Below are 19446 nucleotides of genomic sequence, written 5' to 3'. Positions count from 1 at the left end.
TTTTTTGTTTTGTTTTGTTTTTTTGAGATGGAGTCTTGCTCTGTTGTTCAGGCTGGAGTGCAGTGGTGCAATCTCAGCTCACTGCAACCTCTGCTTCCTGGGTTCAAGCGATTCTTCTGCCTCAGCCTCCCGAGCAACTGGGACTGCAGGTGCATGCCACCATGCCGGGCTAATTTTTGTATTTTTAGTAGAGGCAGGGTTTCACCATGTTGCCAAGGCTGGTCTTGAACTGCTGACCTCAAGTGATCCGCCCACGCCGGCCTCCCAAAGTGCTGGGATTACAGGTGTGAGCCACTGCACCTGGCCTCTACACTGTTCTTTGAACATATTAGTCATGTCCCCACTTCTCAGGGCCTTCTTATTGCCTGTTCCCTCGACCTAGAACATTCTTCCCCAGGTGCCCATGTAGCCCCTTCTCTCCTTCCTTCAGGCCTTACCCAGATGACACTTTCTCAGGCAGCCCTCCCCTTGACTAATTTAAAATTACAATCCACCTCCACACACTACTCCCCACCCCACAAGCCAGGGGTCTGCAAAAGTTTTTTGGTAAAGGGCGAGATATTAAATATTTTAAGATTTGCAGGCCACGTAGCCTCCGTCACAGCTACTGGACTCTGTCATCAAACAAAAGCACCTACAGACATTACAGGACCCAATGAGTGTGGGTGTATTCCAGTAAAACTTTATGGAGGCCAGGCGCAGTGGCTCATGCCTGTAATCCTAGCACTTTGGTAGGTCGAGGCAGGAGGATTGCTTGAGGCCAAGAGTTCAAGACCAACATGGCCAACATAGTGAGACCTCATCTCCAAAAAACAAACAAACTTACAGACACTGAAATTGGAAATTCATATAATTTTCTTTTCTTTTCTTTTCTTTTTTTTTTGAGATGGAGTTTCTTTCTTGTTGCCCAGGCTGGAGTGCAATGGCGCGATCTCAGCTCACTGCAACCTCTGCCTCCCGGGTTCAAGCGATTCTCCTGCCTCAGCCTCCCGAGTAGCTGGGATTACAGGTGCCCACCATCACATCAGGCTAATTTTTGCATTTTTAGTAGAGATGGGGTTTCACCATGTTGGCCAAGCTGGTTTCAAACTCCTGACCTCAGGTGATCCGCCCGCCTCAGCCTCCCAAAGTGCTGGGATTACAGGCATGAGCCACCACGCCCAGCCAAAATTCATATAATTTTCATACACCAGAAAATATTATTTTTCTTTTGTTTTTGTTTTCCAACCATTAAAAAACATAAAAATCAACCGGGCATGGTTGCTTATGCCTGTAATCCCAGTGCTCTGGGAAGCTGAGGCAGAAGGATCACTTAAGTCCAGAAGTTTGAGACCAGCTGGGGCAATACAGCAAGACCCCATCTCTTAGAAAAATACTAAAATTAGCAGGGTGTGGTGGTGCACGCGTGTAGTCCCAGCTACTTGGGAGGCTGAGGTGGGAGGATTATCTGAGCCCGGGATGTTGAAGCTGTGGTGAGCCATGATCGCACCACTGTACTCCAGCCTGAGTGACAGAGGTGAGAACCTGTCTCAAAAAAAAGTTTTTTTAAGTTAAAACTAGGCCAAGCATGGTGGCTCATGCCTATAATCCCAGCACTTTGGGAGGCCAAGACAGGCAGATCACCTGAGTTCAGGAGTTTGAGACCAGCCTGGCCAACATGGTGAAACCCCGTCTCTACTCAAAATACAAAAATTAGCTGGGCATGGAGGTGTTTGCCTGTAATCCCAGCTACTCGGGAGGCTGAGGCAGGAGAATCACTTGAAATCAGGAGGCAGAGGTTGCAGTGAGAAGTGATCACACCACTGCACTCCAGCCTGGGTGACAGGGAGAGACTTCGTCTTTAAAAAAAAAAAAAAAGTAAAAACCATTCTTAGGTTGTAGGCTGTATAAAAACAAATGACAGGCTGGATTTGGCCACCCGACTGTAGTTTGCTGACCCCTGCCCTAAGCTTACCCTGGCTAATATTTGTTTCATAGCATTCATCACCTTCTAACAGACTGTAATATTTACTTGTTTATTATGTTTATTTTCTAGCATCTCCCCTGGAGCTATCAGCCCCAGCTTCCTAACAGCTCCAGGAAGGCAGGGATGTTGGCTGTCTGGCACATAGCAGGTGTGCAGTAAGGATTTATTAAATGATCAAATACATGGATGAATCCTAATGACTGTTGGGATCATGAACCCATTCTTGCTGCCCGGCTAAGTGCTGGACCCTAGAATTTGAGATTGAGAGGAGGAGGAGAGCACAGAATCATTTTCTTTCTCTCTCTCTCTTTCTTTCTCTCTCTCTCTTTTCTTTCTTTCTTTCTCTTTCTTTCTTTCTCCTTCCTTCCTTCCTCTCTCTCTCCTTCCTTCCTTCTTTCGTTTCTCTCTCTCTCTCCTTCCTTCCTTCCCTCCTTCTTTCCTTCTTTTTTTCTTTCCTTTTTCTTTTCTATTTTTCCGAGTCTTACTCTGTCGCCCAGGCTGGAGTGCAATGGTGCAATCTTGGCTCACTGCAATCTCCGCCTCCCAGCAGAACCATTTCCTTTCATCCCAAACTTTGAGCTCCATGATTTCATCCTGACTGCATATGATGTCACATGTCAGGGGACCTGTGAGCCACCGGAGGTGAGCAGCATGCCCAGGGCACAGCTCACCTCCCGAGAGATGCCACCCTGCTTCAAATTACAGCAGGAAGGAAGAGTGACTCACCCTCTCAGATGTGGAGGCTTCCTGTGACGGACCCAGGACAGCCCACCCCACACTTCACCTCATAATCACAGCCACAGCCAGTTCACTGGAGGCTTCCTGTGAACCGTGTATGATTGCATGGATTCCTCACCACTTCACATGGTCCCATTTTGTATTACAGAAGAGGAAACTGAGGTTCAGAGGAGTGAGCTCACTTACCTGACATCACACTGTCAGTAAGAAGAATAGCTAAGCCAGGTGCGGTGGCTCATGCCTGTAATCCCAGCACTTTGGGAGGCCAAGGCGGGTGGATCGCCTGAGGTCAGGAGTTCGAGACCAGCCTGGCCAACATGGTGAAACTCTGTCTCTACTAAAAATACAAAAATTAGCCAGGCATAGTGATGGACGCCTGTGTTCCCAGCTACTCAGGAAGCTGAGACAAGAGAATCTCTTGAACCTGGGATGTGGAAGTTGCAGTAAGCTGAGATTGCACCATTGCACTCCAGCCTGGGCAACAGAGCAAGACTCTGTGTCAAAAAACAAACAAACAAACAAACAAAAAACCTGAGATTCATTCCTTTCTGCACACTTGGCCTTAACCACCAGGCCCCACTGTCTCCGATTCATCCCTCTGCCATCTCATCCTGGATTTCAGGCCTCAGGTCCTGTGTCATCTCCCAGCATGGTTTTGTTTTTGTCTTTTTTTCTTTTCTTTTTTTTTTTTTTAAGATGAAGTTTTGCTCTTGTTGCCCAGGCTGGAGTGCAATGGCGCAATGTTGGCTCACTGCAATCTCCGCCTCCGGGGTTCAAGCAATTCTCCTGCCTCAGCCTCCTGAGTAGCTGGGATTACAGGCATGCACCACCACGCCCAGCTAATTTTGCATTTTTAGTCAAGACGGAGTTTCTCCATGTTGGTCAGGCTGGTCTCGAAGTCCCGACCTCAGGTGATCCACCTGTCTTGGCCTCTCAAAGTGCTAGGATTACAGGCGTTAGCCACCCTTCCTGGCCATGTATTTTGTTTTTTAAGACAGGGTCTCATTCTGTTGCCTAGGCTGCAGTGCAGTGTCATGATCATAGCTCACTGCAGCCTCGAACTCCTGGACTCAAGTGATCTTCCCACTTCAACCTCCCTAGTAGCTGAGACTACAGTTTCACACCACCTCACCCACCTGATTTTTAAAAATTTTTTGTAGACACAGTCTCGCCTTGCTGACCAGGCTGGTCTCAAACTCCTGGGCTGAAGCGATCCACCTGCCTTGGACTCCCAGCGTGCTGGGATTATAGGCGTGAGCCACTGCACGTGGCCTCCAAGCATCACTGTATCATCAGGTGGACATAACAGTTCCATAAAATCCGGAATTGAGGCCAGGGACAGACTAAACCCTCAAACAAACATGAGCTCTTATAAATATTGGCCCAACTATTTATTTATTTTTATTTTATTATTATTTTTTTTTTTTTGACAGAGTCTTGCTCTGTCGCCTAGGCTGGAGCACAGTGGTGTGATCTTGGCTCACTGCAACCTCTGCTACTTGGGTTCAAGTGATTCTCCTGCCTCAGCCTTCCAAGTAGCTGGGAATACAGGCACATGACACCATGCCTGGATAATTTTTGTTTTTTGTTTTTTGAGACGGAGTCTCACTCTGTTGCCCAGGCTGGAGTGCAGTGGCGCGATTACGGCTCACTGCAAGCTCCACCTCCCGGGTTCATGCCATTCTGCTGCCTCAGCCTCCCAAGTAGCTGGGCCTACAGGTGCCCGCCACCATGCCCGGCTAATTTTTTTTTGTATTTTTTAGTAGAGACGGGGTTTCACCTTGTTAGCCAGGATGGTCTCGATCTCCTGACCTCGTGAACCACCTGCCTCGGCCTCCCAAAGTGCTGGGATTACAGGCGTGAGCCACTGCACCCGGACTTTTTTTTTTTTTTTTTTTAGTAGAGACAGGGTTTTACCATGTTGGCCAGGCTGCTCTTGAACTCCTGACCTCAAATGATCTGCCCACCTCGGCCTCCCAAAGTGCTGGGATTACAGGTGTGAGCCACCATGCCTGGCCCCAACTATTTATTGTACCATTGTTGGGTACACCATTTTCCACTGTAGTCACATTGAGGAGTGTTGGAAGATTTTAAAGTCCTACGGGGGTGTGCTCGGGAGGCTGAGGTGAGAGGATCACTTGATCCCAGGAGACTGCAGTGAGCTGTGATCATGCCACTGCACTCCAGCCTGGGCAACGGAGCAAGACCCTGTCCCCCCCAAAAAATTGCCTTAAAAAATATCTTATTAGGCTGGACGCAGTGGCTCACGCCTGTAATCCCAGCACTTTGGGAGGCCGAGGCGGGCCGATCGCTTGAGCCCAGGAGTTTGAGACCAGCCTGGCCAACATGGCTAAACCTCGTCTCTACAAAAAATACAAAAATTAGCCAGGTGTGGTGGTGTGTGCCCGTGGTCCCAGCTATTCAGAAAGCTGAGATGGGAGGATCACTTGAGCCTGGGAGGGAGGCAGAGGTTGCAGTGAGCCAAGATCTCACCACTGCACTCCAGCCTTGGTAGATCCTGTCTGTAAATAAATAAATAAAAACCCACTGGAGAGCAAGGCTCATCCTTCTGTGTGAGGAAAGGGCAGCCTGGCCCCTGCTGTGTGAAGGATGAGCTGGGTCATATCAAGATCAAATCTGGTGTGATCTTCCCTGAGGGTCTACACTAATCCTTCCTCGTGAGTTCAGTGGGTGAGAACAGGAGTTGAGTCCTAGAGGGCACATGACTCACCACCAACTGGGGGATCTGTCAGGGCTGAAGCGTGGGTCACGCTGTGCATGGTCAGCAGGAGTGTGGTCAGCTCTGTGTATCCTACCTCCAGGAACACCCCAGCCCTCCACAGGCTCTCAGGCGTGGGCCCAGCAGCACAGTTACTAGAGGGAAACGAGTATACCCCTGGGTCCATGGCAGGTCACTCAGGGAGAACAGGCTCTCTGCCATGGTCCATGGCAGGTCTCGCAGGGAGAACAGGCTCTCTGCCATGGTCAAGGCAAGTCAAGTATAGACAGGAATGTGAGCCGGGTGTGGTGGCTCCCAGCACTTTGGGAGGCTGAGGTGGGAGGATCTCTTGAGCCCAGGAGTTCAAGAGCAGCTTGGGTGATGTAGTGAGACCCTGTCTCTGGTTAAAAAGAAAGGAAGAATGTGGTTCATGTTCACCCAGCCATACTCTCCTCAACTTAAAAAACAAAACAAAGGCCGGGTGCAGTGGCTCAAGCTGCAATCTCAGCACTTTGGGAGGCCACAGTGCAAGGTGGGCAGATTGCTTGAGCTCAGGAGTTCGAGATCAGCCTGGGTGACACGGTGAAACCCCGTCTCTACAAAAAAATACAAAAACTAGCCAGGTGTGGTGGTGTGCACCTGTCATCCCAGCTACTTGGGAGGCTGAGGTGGGACGATCATTTGAGCCCAGGAGGTCAAGGCTGCAGTGAGCTGAGATCATTATACCACTGCACTCCAGCGTGGGCAACAGAGTGAGACACTGTCTCAAAAAAAACCAAAAAACAAAAAAAACAGTACAATGGCAGTTGGCATGCTGGCGATGATTGCCCCCACATTGGCCTCATGAGTCACACGGTCCTATCTGGACTTGTTGCCCTCTAACCTTTTCTATTTTATTTTTATATAATATAAATAAATAAATAATTTGTATATTATATAATTATAGAAATATGTAGAAATAATTTTTATATAATAGAAATATTATATATTTATTTTTATATAATATTTTTATGTCTATATTAGAGAAAGGGTCTCTGTCTGTCACCCAGGCTAGAGTGCAGTGGCATGATCATGGCTCACTGCAGCCTCGAGCTCCTGGGTTGAAGTGATCCTCTTGCCACGGCCTCCCCAGTAGCTGGGATCACAGGCACACAACACCATACCCGGCCTGCCCTCAGACTGTGGTGCCCTGCTGCCATGCTGGGACCTCCTTTACTGCCATCCTGAGGTGCCTCTTCACTTCTCTCCTATGTCAGGTCCCCTGTGTCCTGGATCTCAGTGCTCCCCTTTTTCTTGGTGGTGCTCTCATTTCAGTTGAGTGCATCCTGAAGCTTTTCTTCTTTTTTTTTTTGTGAGATGGAGTCTTGCTCTGTCGCCCAGGCTGGAGTGCAGTGGCGCGATCTCGGCTCACTGCAACCTCCGCCTCCCAGGTTTAAGCGATTCTCCTGCCTCAGCCTCCCGAGTAGCTGGTATCACAGGCACACACCACCATGCCCAAATAATTTTTGTATTTTTAGGAGAGATGGGGTTTCACCATGTCGGTCAGGCTGGTCTCGAACTTCTGACCTCGTGATCCACGCGCCTCAGCCTCCCAAAGTGCTGGGATTACAGGCGTGAGCCACCGTGCCTGGCCATCCTGGAGCTTCTTGAGCAAGGTCATGGGAGGTAAACGTTTCAGACTTTACACGTCTGAAAATGTCTTCAAACTCTCCTCTGACTTGATTGATAGTTGACTGGCCACAGAATTCAGGGACCAAACTCCATTTGTTTCAGAATTTTAAAGGCATTTTTCTCTCATCTTGTTTGCAGTATTGTTCTTGAGAAGTCTGAGGTTTTTGTTGTTGTTGTTTGTTTGTTTGTTGATGATAGTGGCAAAGGAGAGAGTTGTGAGGCCAGGGTTGGTGACAGAGAAGGTGGTACACGGAGGGGGAGGCACAAAAGAGGTTGATGGGAGGGGAGGAAAGGTGCAGCAGGGTCCACTGGCTGTTCACAGTGGCCATTTGCACATTTGCACCTTCTATAACAGCACCCTCAGGTTTTTTTCTCTCTTTTTTTTTTTTTTTTTTTTTGAGACAGAGTCTCGCTCTGTTGCCCAGGCTGGAGTGCAGTGGTGCCATCTTGGCTCACTGTAACCTCTGCCTCCTGGGTTCAAGTGATTCTCCTGCCTCAGCCTCCCAAGTAGCTGGGATTACTGGTGCCCAAAAAAAAGAAACAGAGGCTGGGGGTGGTGGCTCATGTCTGTAATCCCAGTACTTTGGGAGGCTGAGGTGGGTGGATCACCTGAGGTCGGGAGTTTGAGACCAGCCTGACCAACATGGAGAAACTCCATCTCTACTAAAAATACAAAATTAGCTGGGTGTGGTGGCACATGCCTGTAATCCCAGTGAGAGGTGAAGCCAGCTGGACTTCCTGGGTCGAGTGGGGACTTGGAGTACTTTTCTGTCTAGCTAAACGATTGTAAACGCACCAATCAGCGCTCTGTGTCTAGTTAAAGGATTGTAAATGCACCAATCAGCACTCTGTAAAAACACACCAATCAGCACTCTGTGTCTAGCTAAAGGATTGTAAACGCACCAATCAGCACTCTATAAAATGGACCAATCAGCACTCTGCAAAATGGACCAATCAGCACTCTGTAAAATGGACAAATCAGCAGGATGTGGGCGGGGCCAAATAAGGGAATAAAAGCTGGCCACTGGAGCCAGCAGTGGCAACCTGCTCTGGTCCTTTTCCACACAGTGGAGGCTTTGTTCTCTGGCTCTTCACAATAAATCTTGCTGCTGCTCATTCTTTGGGTCCACACTACCTTTAAGAGCTGTAACACTCACTGTGAAGGCCTGCGGTTTTACTCCTGAAGTCAGTGAGACCATGAGCCCACCGGAAGGAACTCCAGACACATGTGAACATCTGAAGGAACAAACTTCAGACACACCGTCTTAAAGAGCTGTAACACTCACCCCGAAGGAAGGTCCATGGCTTCATTCTTGAAGTCAGCAAGACCAAGAACCCATCAGAAGGAATAAATTGCGGACATGCCAGCTACTCAGGAGGCTGAGGCAGGAGAATCACTTGAACCCTGGAGGCAGAGGTTGCAGTGAGCTGAGATCGTGTCATTGCACTCTAGCCTGGGCAACAAGAGCGAAACTCCATCTCAAAAAAAAAAGAATATTAAAATGGGAAGATGATCCTGGATAATCCATGTAGGCTCCAAATGCAATCACAAATATTCTTATAATACGAGGCCCTCAGCCGGGAGTGGTGGCGGGTGCCTGTAATCCCAGCTACCTGGGAGGCTGAGGCAGGAGAATCTTTTTAACCCAGGAGGTGGAAGTTGCAGTGAGCCGAGATTGGCCACTGCACTCCAGCCTGGGTGACAAGAGTAAGACTGTCTCAAAAAAAAAAAAAGAAAGAAAAGAAAATAAGAATTGAGGCTGGGTGCGGTGGCTCATGCCTGTAATCCCAGCAGTTTGAGAGGCTGAGGTGGGCGGATCACTTGAGGTCAGGAGTTTGAGACCAGCCTGGCCAACACGGTGAAACCCCATCTCTACTAAAAATACAAAAATTAGCCAGGTGTGGTGGCACATGCCTGTAGTCCCAGCTACAGAGGAGACTGAGGCAGCAGAATCGCTTGAACCCAGGAGGCCAAGGTTGCAGTGAGCTGAGATTGTACCACTGCACTCCAGCCTGGACAGAGAGGGTGACAGAGAGGGACTTCATCTCAAAAAAAAAAAAAAAAAAGAATTGAACTTTGGATTTGGCACCATGGAAGTCACTGATGACCTTGACAAGCTGTTGGATTTGTTTTTCATCACTGCACGTTATGCTCTAGGTACCGTGGCCGATATAGTCTAGGTGCTATCACCACCAATCTCATGTTGAATTGCAATTTCCAACATTGGAGGTGGAGCCTGGTGGGAGGTGATTGGATCATGGGGTGGATCCTTCATGAATGGGTGAGCACCATCCCCTTGGTAGTGAGTGAGTTCTCAAGAGATCTGGTCATTTAAAAGTGTGTGGCAGCCGGGCATGGTGGCTCACACCTGTAATCCCAGCACTTTGGGAGGCCGAGGCGGGTGAATCACGAGGTCAGGAGATCGAGACCATCCTGGCTAACATGGTGAAACCCCGTCTCTACTAAAAATACAAAAAATTAGCCAGGCGCGGTGGCAGGCGCCTGTAGTCCCAGCTACTCGGGAGGCTGAGGCAGGAGAATGGCGTGAACCCGGGAGGTGGAGCTTGCAGTGAGCTGAGATCGCACCACTGCACTCCAGCTTGGGTGACAGAGCGAGACTCCGTCTCAGAAAAAAAAAAAAAAAAAAAGACGGTCTCGCTCTGTTGCCCAGGCTGGAATGCAGTGGTGCGATCTCGGCTCACTGCAACCTCTGCCTCCTGAGTTCAAGCGATTCTCCTGTCTCAGCCTCCCGAGTAGCTGGGATTACAGACCCCCACCACCACGCCCGACTAATTTTTGTATTTTTAGTGGAGACAGGGTTTCATTATGTTGGCCAGGCTGGTCTCGAACTCCTGACCTCAAGTGATCCACTCACCTCAGCCTCCCAAAGTGCTGGAGTTACAGGCGTGAGCCACGGCGCCCGGACTTAAGAGCCATTCTTATTTCCTTTTCTATGAACTATTTGTTCACATTCTCTGTGTATTTTTTCCCCTGATGAGATTGTTCCTTTTCTTATTCATTTGTGGGAAATCTATTAAAATTAGCCCTTTGCATGTGATGCAATTTGGAAGTATTTTTCCAGGTTTGTCATGTTAATTCTGGATTGATCAAATATAGACATCATTATGAACGATGAGCATTCAGCTCTCACCCCAACACTCTTTTTATTCCCCATCCCTGTGATTTCTGTTATTAGAACTCACTCTACCACGTTTAATCCTCTTTCAAACACAAGCTTCTGACTGTCAGTCTTCTCGGATAAAATCATGATGATCTAATCATATCTCAGACATTGCTGCAAAAGAGGTAAGAGATCTATGTTTGAAAGTCTGGCAAGTACCATTTTAGTTTTTTCAATGTTTTTGACTACAGTTCAAAATAAGACATGTACTTATATCACAACCTAGCACACATGCATATATGTATATCTATTACATAATTAAAGTTTACAAAACTTGGCCAGTTGCGGTGGCTCACGCCTGTAATCCCAGGACTTTGGGAGGCCAAGGCAGGTGGATCACTTGAGGTCAGGGGTTCAAGACCTGCCTGGCCAACATGGTGAAACCCCGTCTCTACTAAAAGTACAAAAAAATTTAGCCGGGCATGGTGGCACGCATCTGTAATCCCAGCTACTCGGGAGGGTGAGGTGGGAGAATTGCTTGAACCCAGGAGGCGGAGGTTGCAGTGAGCTGAGATCATGCCACTGCACTCCAGCCTGGGTGACAGAGTGAGACTCTGTCTCAAAAAAAAAAAAGTTTTATATAACTTGTGCAAGACTCACAATGTGGGCAGTGCCAGCCTCTAATCTCTTCTGTTTTTGCTTTTGTTTTTAAATGCTGGTCTAAATCCACTTAATTGATTTCAAGGCCTTAGCAGATCTCTATCTGCTTTCTAGAACAAGTCTATGTTTTTTGTTAATTTTGAGACAGGGTCTTGCTCTGTTGCCCAGGCTGGAGTGCAGTGGCAAGATCTTGGCTCACTGCAACCTCTGCTTCCCGAGTTCAAGCGCTTCTTGTGTCTTAGCTTCCCAGACAGCTGGGATTACAGGCACCCGCCACCACGCCTGGCTAATTTTGTATTTTTAGTACAGGTGGGGTTTCTCCATGTTGGCCAGGCTGGTCTGGTCTTGAACTCCTGACCTCAGGTGATCCACCCACCTTGCCCTCCCAAAGTGCTGGGATTACAGGCCTGAGCCACCATGCTTGGCCAAATCTATACTTTTAAAGTTTCTATGCAGATATTTTAAAATTTGTTTTATTCCACTCGAGTGAGGTATAATTTACATTATAATTACGGTAAAACGCGCCCACTTTAAGTGTGCAGTTGGATGAGTTTTGACAATTGTACACCACCTCAATCAAGGCAGAGAACATTTCTCTCCAGAACATTCCTTTGTGCCCTTTTGCAGTCAATCCTCTTACCGCCCGCCCCCCACCCCCAGGGGTAACGGCTGTTTTGATTTTTAGCATAGATTAGTGTTATAATAAATATTTTATATGCTCCCTTTACCACCCTGAAATAAAGTTTATGGATAATATAACCCACCCACATACAAAATAAAATTTTTAATCAAGATAATGTCCTTATTATAATGAAGAAAGAATAAGCGGAAAGTAATTTATAGTAAAATGTTCAAAAAGCTCAGACTTAACTAAGCTATAAAACATAATAAAGGGTTAGGGGTGTGCCAGGGGCAGAAGCTTTGTGAATGCCAGCTGGAGAGCCACAAATAAAGACAGACACAGCTTTGTGACTCTGGCACCAAATGGTGAACAATGAACACACATTCCTGGTTCTACCCAGTAGTTGCATTCCTGAAAAATTTAAAACTGTTTACGGGCCCGGTGCGGTGGCTCATGCCTGTAATCACAACAGTTTGGGAGGCTGAGTTGGGAGGATCGCTTGAGCCCAGGAGTTTGAGATTACAGTGAGCCATGATCACACCACTGCACTCCAGCCTGGGTGATGGAGCGAGACCCTGTCTCTAACAACGACGACAACAAACCTGGTTATGAGTATAATGGAGTTCCATGTTGGGCTTAGGTAATTTTGTTTTTTTGTTTTGAGACAGGGTCTCGCCCTGTCACCCAGGCTGGAGTGCAGTGGCATGATCATGGCTCACTGTAATCTCAAACTCCTGGGCTCAAGTGATCCTCCCACCGTGGCCTCCCAAAGTGCTGGGATTACAGTCATGAGTCACTGCGTCCGCCCCAGGGCATATTTATTTATTTATTTATTCTTTCTTTCTTTTCTTTTCTTTTTTTTTGACAGAGTCTCACTCTGTTGCCCAGGCTGGAGTACAGTGGCTCGATCTCAGCTCACTGCAACCTCAATCTCCCTGGATCAAGAGATTCTCCTGCCTCAGCCTCCCAAAATGCTGGGATTACACATGTGAGCCACCACGCCTGGCCTGGGCACATTTCTTCCTTTTTTTTTTTGAAACAGAGTCACTCTGCCACCCAGGCTGGAGTGCAGTGGTGCGATCTCGGCTCACTGCAACCTCCACCTCCTGGGTTCAAGTGATTCTCCTGCCTCAGCCTTCCAAGTAGCTGGGAGTGCAGGCGCCCGCTACCATGCCTGGCTAATTTTTTTTTTTTTTTTTTTTGTATTTTTAGTAGAGACGGGGTTTCACTATGTTGGTCAGGCTGGTCTCAAACTCATGTCCTCAAATGATCTGCCCACCTCGGCCTCAAAAGTGCTGGGATTACAAGCGTGAGCCACCACGCTGGGCCTCTCAGGTATTTCTTTATAGCAATACGAGAACAGACAAATACAGGTAGCTTGTCTGATATTACACAGCTTGTAACTGGTCCAGGTCTCTCCCAGTCCGCAGTTTCACCGAAGGCTCCGTACTCTGCCCAAGGCTCCATACTCCGCCCATCCTCAGCATTAAAACACACAGGTGTTTCTGCTGAAGCAGGAGCCGCTTCAGCAGAGATTTCCTAAAAGCCTCAGTTTATTTTAAATCACTGCAAGTGTAGCCTTTTTAAAATTTTTTTAGACGGAGTTTTGCTCTTCCCAGGCTAGAGTGCAATGGCGCGATCTGGGCTCACTGCAACCTCCGCCTCCCAGGTTCAAGCGATTCTCCTGCCTCAGCCTCCCGAGTAGCTGGGATTACAGGCATGCGCCTCCATGCCCGGCTAATTTTGTATTTTTAGTGACGGGGTTTCTCCATGTTGGTCAGGCTGGTCTCGAACTCCTGACCTCAGGTGATCTGCCCCCTTCAGCCTCCCAAAGTGCTGGGATTACAGGCGTGAGCCACCACGCCGGGCCAAGTGTAGCCTTTTTAAAGGCTCCCAGTGGAGAGACATCGCTGCTTGGTGACAACCGTCAGCCCTCATGTTGTCGGCTGAGTGCCCTGCTCTGTGCATTTGAAAAGCAAACCCAAGAAAGAAGAGCGAGTCTCACCCCCAGGCCAGACAAACTGGGGACCGTCGCCAGGGGGAAAAAAAATAGTGCAGGGTTTCTCTAAAACCAAGCTACCCAAACTTCAGTGGCTCACATACCACTTGAGATTTTTTTGTCCTATTCAAGGACTACTTAAACTCTTATTTACTTAATTTCTTTAAATAATGTTTAGGCTTAATTCATTTTGAAGGCAACATTGTATCACTACTATAAAGAGAAAACCAAAATCATTTAATACTTTTTCAAAGAAAATACAGGGCTGGGCGTGGTGGCTCACGACTGTAATCCCAGCACTTTGGGAGGTTGAGGCGAGTGGATCACCTGAGGTCTGGAGTTCGAGACCAGCCTGGCCAACATGGTGAAAGCCCATCTCTACTAAAAATACAAAAAATTAGCCGGCATGGTGGCGGGCGCCTGTAATCCCAGCTATTCAGGAGGCTGAGGCAGGAGAATCTCTTGAACCCAGAGGCAGAGGTTGCAGTGAGCTGAGATCGAGCTATTGCTCTCCAGCCTGGGCAACAAGAGTGAAACTCTGTCTCAAAAAAAAAAAAAAAAAAAAAAAACACCCAGGCGCCTGTACACCCAGAGCTGGGCTGGGTGTAGTGGCTCATGCCTGTAATTCCAGCATGTTGGAAGGCCAAGGCAGGAGGATTGATGGAAGCCAGGAGTTCAAGACCAGCCTGGGTAACATAGCAAGACCCCATCACTACAAAAAAAAAAAATGTTTTTTAATTAGCTGGGCACTGTGGCGTGTGCCTGTAGTCCAAGCTACTTGGGAGGCTGAGGTGGGAGGATCACTTGAGCCCAGGAGGCCGAGGCTACAGTGAGCCAAGATTGCACCACTGCACTCAAGCTTGGGTGACAGTGTGAGACCCTATCTCTAAAAAAGAAAAAAAGAAAACACAGAGCTATTCACATAACAAATGTTTTGTGTACCACCTAAATGTGTCAAATCTCACTAGCATATTCCACTCTTTGGGAAATGCTGTCCTAAGTGGAAATTAGTGACAATTTCCAGAGAGATCTCAGCATCTTTGAACAAGCAACATCTTGGAGTCACCTGTCAATCAGACCACTGGGCTCAGCTTCCCAGAGATCTGTAGCATGGGGTAGGGAAAGAGGCCTTGTTGGAGAGAATACTGGCTTAGGGGGCTCAGGAGTGGGAGACAGGCCTGAAAAAACACTAGTAAAGATAGCCCATGTTCAGAAGTCTCAGAAACCCCCCAGTGCTTTCAGGAGAACATTTCACACACACACACACACACACACACACACACACACACACACACTCCACATATGAATGCTTTGGGCTGCAAGTAACAGGAAACCCACAGAAGATGTGTAGTCTGTCCAGATGCTCACTGATGTCATTGGCATCCTGGGTTCCCGTTTCTCTGCTCTGCAATCTCTATCTAGTTTTATCTTCATCCTGAAGATAAGGTTGTAAGTGAAAGGCTGCCAACACCACTGCAACACGCTTTCTTGTTTGAGTTCAGCAGAGGCAAGGGAGAGAGAAAGACAGAATGAGAGAGAGAGAGAAGCTGTCTTTCTGCGGGACTCCCTCAAGAGAGCGGAGGGAGCTGTGGGGTGTTTGAGGGGAATTAACAGTAATGATACTGATCAACAGTCACATGCTACTTTCTGTGCTACAAGCACTGCTCTTAGCCTTCCCATGTGCCCTATTACACCAACTCTAAGGTGCTCTGTGCATAAGAGCCATCTTAGAAAGAAAAAAATAAAGCAGCCAGGTGCAGTGGCTCACACCTGCAATCCCAACACTTTGGGAGGCCGAGGCAGGTGGATCACCTGAGGCCAGGAGTTTGAGACCACCCTGACCAACATGGTGAAACCCTGTCTCTACTAAAAAGACAAAAATTAGCTGGGCATGGTGGCAGACACCTGTAATCTCAGCTACTCAGGAGACTGAGGCGGGAGGATTACTTGAACCCGGAAGGCGGAGGTTGCAGTGAGCCGAGATCGTGCCACTGCACTCTAGCCTGGGCGACAGAGGAAGACTCTATCTAAAAAAAAAATAAAAATAAAAATAAAAAAGGCCAGGCGCAGTGGCTCACGCCTGTAATCCCAACACTTTGAGAGGCGGAGGCAGGTGGATCACCTGAGGTCAGGAGTTCGAGACCAGCCTGACCAACATGGAGAAACCCCATCTTTACTAAAAATACAAAATTAGCCGGGCGTGGTGGCACATGCCTGTAATCCCAGCTACTCAGGAGGCTGAGGCAGGAAAATTGCTTGAACCCAGGAGGCAGAGGCTGCAGTGAGCCAAGATTGCGCCACTGTACTGCAGCCTGGGCAACAAGAGTGAGACTCCATCTCAAAAAAAAAAAAAAAAAAGGAAGCAAAAAAGACCACTGTTGATTAAACCACAACAGATCATCTATTTTAACACCCATCCCAATTCCGTGGATCCATGAAATACCCCATACTAGCTCATTTGGTCCTCTCCACAACCCTATGAGATAGGTAGCATTATCATCCCCATTTTATACAGGGGGAAACTGAGGTCAGAAAGACTGAGTGGCATGCTCAAAGTCCCCCCAGTGAGCCAGAGGTGGAGCCAGGATTTGAACTCGGGCAGTCTGGCAGCAGAGCCCTGACTCTTATCTGCTCTCCACACTGCCTCTCTGCTTCCAGTCTGATTTTGGAGAAGTAGACCCAGGAATCACACAGACAGCTAGAAATATCCGCCTATTGGCATATGAAAAGGGGCTCAACATCGCTGATCATTAGAGAGATGCAAATCAAAACTACAGTGAGATATATCATCTCACCCCAATTAAAGTGCCTTATATCCAAAAGACAGGCAATAACAAATGCTGGCAATGATGTGAAGAAAAGGGAACCCTCGTACATTGTTGGTGGGAATGTAAATTAGTACAACCACCGTGGAGAACAGTTTGGAGGTTCCTCAAAAAACTAAAAATTGAGGCTGGGCGCAGTGGCGCACACCTGTAATCCCAACACTTTGGGAGGCCAAAGCAGGTGGATCCCTTGAGGTCAGGAGTTCAAGACCAGCCTGGCCAATGTGGTGAAACCCCGTCTCTACTAAAAATACAAAAATTAGCCAGGCGTCATGGTGCATGCCTGTCATCCCAGCTACTCAGGAGGCTGAGGCAGAAGAATCAGTTGAACCTGGGAGGCAGAGGTTGCAGTGAGCAAGATCACACCACTGCACTTGAGCCTGAGGGACAGAGCTAGACTCTGTCTCAAAAAAAAAAAAAAAAACAAAACACCTAAAAATTTGAGCTACCATATGATCCAGCAATCCCACTGCTGGGTATATACCCCATAGAATGGAAATCAGTGTATCTGTTAAGGAAATATCTACACTGACATGTGTATTGCAGCACTGCTCACAGTAGCCAAAATTTGGAAGCAACCTAAGTGTCCATCAGCAGATGAATGGATAAGGAAAATGTACATATGCACAGTGGAGTACTATTTAGCCATAAAAAAGAATGAGATCTAGTCATTTGTAACAACATGAATGGAACTGGAGACCATTATGTTAAGTGAAATAAACCAGGTTCAGAAAGACAAACATCACATGTTCTCACTTATTTGTGGGAGTTAAAAATCAAAACAATTGAACTCATGGACATAGAGAGGCTGGGAAGGATAGTGGAGGTTGGGGGGAGGAGAGGATGGTTAGTGGGTATAAAAAAATAGAAATAATGAATAAGACCTACTATTTGATCACACAACAGGGCGCCTATAGTCAATAATAACTCGCCTATTTAAAGATAACTGAAAGAGTATAATTGGATTGTTTGTAACACAAAGGATAAATGCTTGAGGGGATGGATGCCCCATTCTCCAGGATGTGATTATTATACATTCCATGCTTGTATCAAAACATTTCATTTACCCCATAAATAAGTACACCTACAAAAATTAAAAATTAAAAAAATATATATCAGCCTGTTGGTAAAGGCTTAGCTGGGTGGCCGCAGCGGGCTTCCCAACACCCCCAAATTGAACTTACCATCTAAAATGGAGGCTCCTTGGCCAGGTGCAGTGGCTCATGCCTGTAATCCCAACACTTTGGGAGGCCACGATGGGCCGATCACCTGAGGCCAGGAGTTCAAGACCAGCCTGGCCAACATGGTGAAACCACGTCTCTACTAAAAATACAAAAACATGTGCTGTGTCCACTCAGGGTTAAATGGATTAAGGGCGGTGCAAGATGTGCTTTGTTAAACAGATGCTTGAAGGCAGCATGCTCGTTAAGAGTCATCACCAATCCCTAATCTCAAGTAATCAGGGACACAAACACTGCGGAAGGCCGCAGGGTCCTCTGCCTAGGAAAACCAGAGACCTTTGTTCACTTGTTTATCTGCTGACCTTCCCTCCACTATTGTCCCATGACCCTGCCAAATCCCCCTCTGTGAGAAACACCCAAGAATTATCAATAAAAAAATAAATTAAAAAAAAATAATAATAAAAAACAAAAAAAAATAAAAATAAAAATACAAAAAAAAAAAAAATTAGCAAGTCATGTTGGCGCACGCCTGTAATCCCAGCTACTTGGGAGGGAGGCTGAAGAAGGAGAATCGCTTAAGCCCAGAAGGCAGAGGTTGCAGTGAGCCAAGATCTCGCCACTGCACTCCAGCCTGGGTGACAGAGCAAGACTCCATCTCTAAATAAATACATAAATAATGGCGGCTCCTCTCTAGCTGGTTTATAGGCACAAGAATAAGTTCCACTAAACCATGGGTCCTCCCCCACCGTCACCCCCAGGGAAGGCATGAGGGACAGAGACAAACTGCAGCTGTTCTTCCTCCACTTGTCCTTCCTGGAGAGTGCAATAAAAACACCTCCTTTATTTGGTAACATAAGGAATGAGAAAACCCCTTTCAAAGACACGCCAAAGAAGAGATCAACTGCCTTAGTAAACAGATCTACACGTAATGTAGACCGCCAGTTAGGGATGAAGTTAGAATCTCACCACATGATGGATTCCTGTGTCTTCACCTTCGACCAGTACTGGGATCCTTTCAAGAGTGTCATCAGCACCTTCACAGATAGCTCTGCAAAATGGCGGCTAACCTATGGCTCCATTGTCAAGTCAACAGCCCACACTATTTCCCAATGTAAGATTTCACCGTGGTCAGCTGGCCTCATGACTTACATTCCTAAAGGAAATGCATTATCTGACCATTTACTTCCTTCTTTTGTGGCTTTCAGTCCACACCTCTGAAGTCTTGGGGTGTAGCCATCATCTAACTTGTAGGTGTCCTCCCTCATTCCTTCTTCCATGTCATTCTGGAAACCACAGACTCTTACTACAAACCTTAGATCTGTGATCCTCTTTTTTCTACACTTTTTCAGAACATCCTCCTCCCCTTGCACCCCATTGGCCAGAACTAGGTTGGATGCCCATTCCTGAACAAGTCACACCACAGAAGATTAGACTCATTGGATGAATCAGGATGAACGCCGGGGGCTGGGTTAGGCCTCTGCCCTCTTGGGTCCTTACCGGAGAAAGGGTTGAGTGGGAGTAGAGGGTCTTCCCCAGTGTCCACTGCTCTTAGATCTGGGGGTCATGTCCATGGTTTTCCCACATACTGGTCTGCTTCAGTGAGTCCCCACTGGGGTGGACTCCCCAATACCAGTCCACCACCTGGCTGGTGAGCTACCAGGAGACTTTGCTCTGTACTTAAGGCTCCCCTTGTTGGCTGGGTGTGGTGGCTCATGCCTGTAATCCCAGCACTCTGGGAGGCTGAGGTGGGAGGATGGCTTGAGGCCAGGAGTTCAAGACCAGCCTGGGCAAAATAGAAAGACCCCATCTCTACAAAATAATAATAATAATTTTGTAAAAGTCGGCCGGGTGCGGTGGCTCACGCCTGTAATCTCAGCACTTTGGGAAGCCGAGGCGGGAAGATCACCTGAGGTCAGGAGTTCAAGACCAACCTGGCCAATGTG

At 47.5% G+C, this 19446-nt stretch overlaps 2 annotated features.

The window, feature by feature from the left end:
* Positions 1843 to 3042: an enhancer, noted in NCBI's record as "BRD4-independent group 4 enhancer chr19:39564087-39565286 (GRCh37/hg19 assembly coordinates)". NCBI's record gives its function as "activates an origin of replication core promoter dependent on BRD2, P300/CBP, MED14 and CDK7 cofactors, and independent of BRD4, by STARR-seq in HCT116 cells {active_cell/tissue: HCT116}" and the evidence as "EXISTENCE:reporter gene assay evidence [ECO:0000049][PMID:35650434]".
* Positions 17483 to 17984: an enhancer, noted in NCBI's record as "NANOG hESC enhancer chr19:39549145-39549646 (GRCh37/hg19 assembly coordinates)". NCBI's record gives its function as "activates a minimal SCP1, AML or CMV promoter by ChIP-STARR-seq in primed H9 embryonic stem cells {active_cell/tissue: H9 hESC(primed)}" and the evidence as "EXISTENCE:reporter gene assay evidence [ECO:0000049][PMID:30033119]".

The sequence above is a fragment of the Homo sapiens genome, chromosome 19 (genome assembly GCF_000001405.40).
Source record: "Homo sapiens chromosome 19, GRCh38.p14 Primary Assembly".
In the NCBI taxonomy this organism is placed as follows: domain Eukaryota; kingdom Metazoa; phylum Chordata; class Mammalia; order Primates; family Hominidae; genus Homo; species Homo sapiens.
This window is presented reverse-complemented; position numbering and strand designations above follow the sequence as displayed.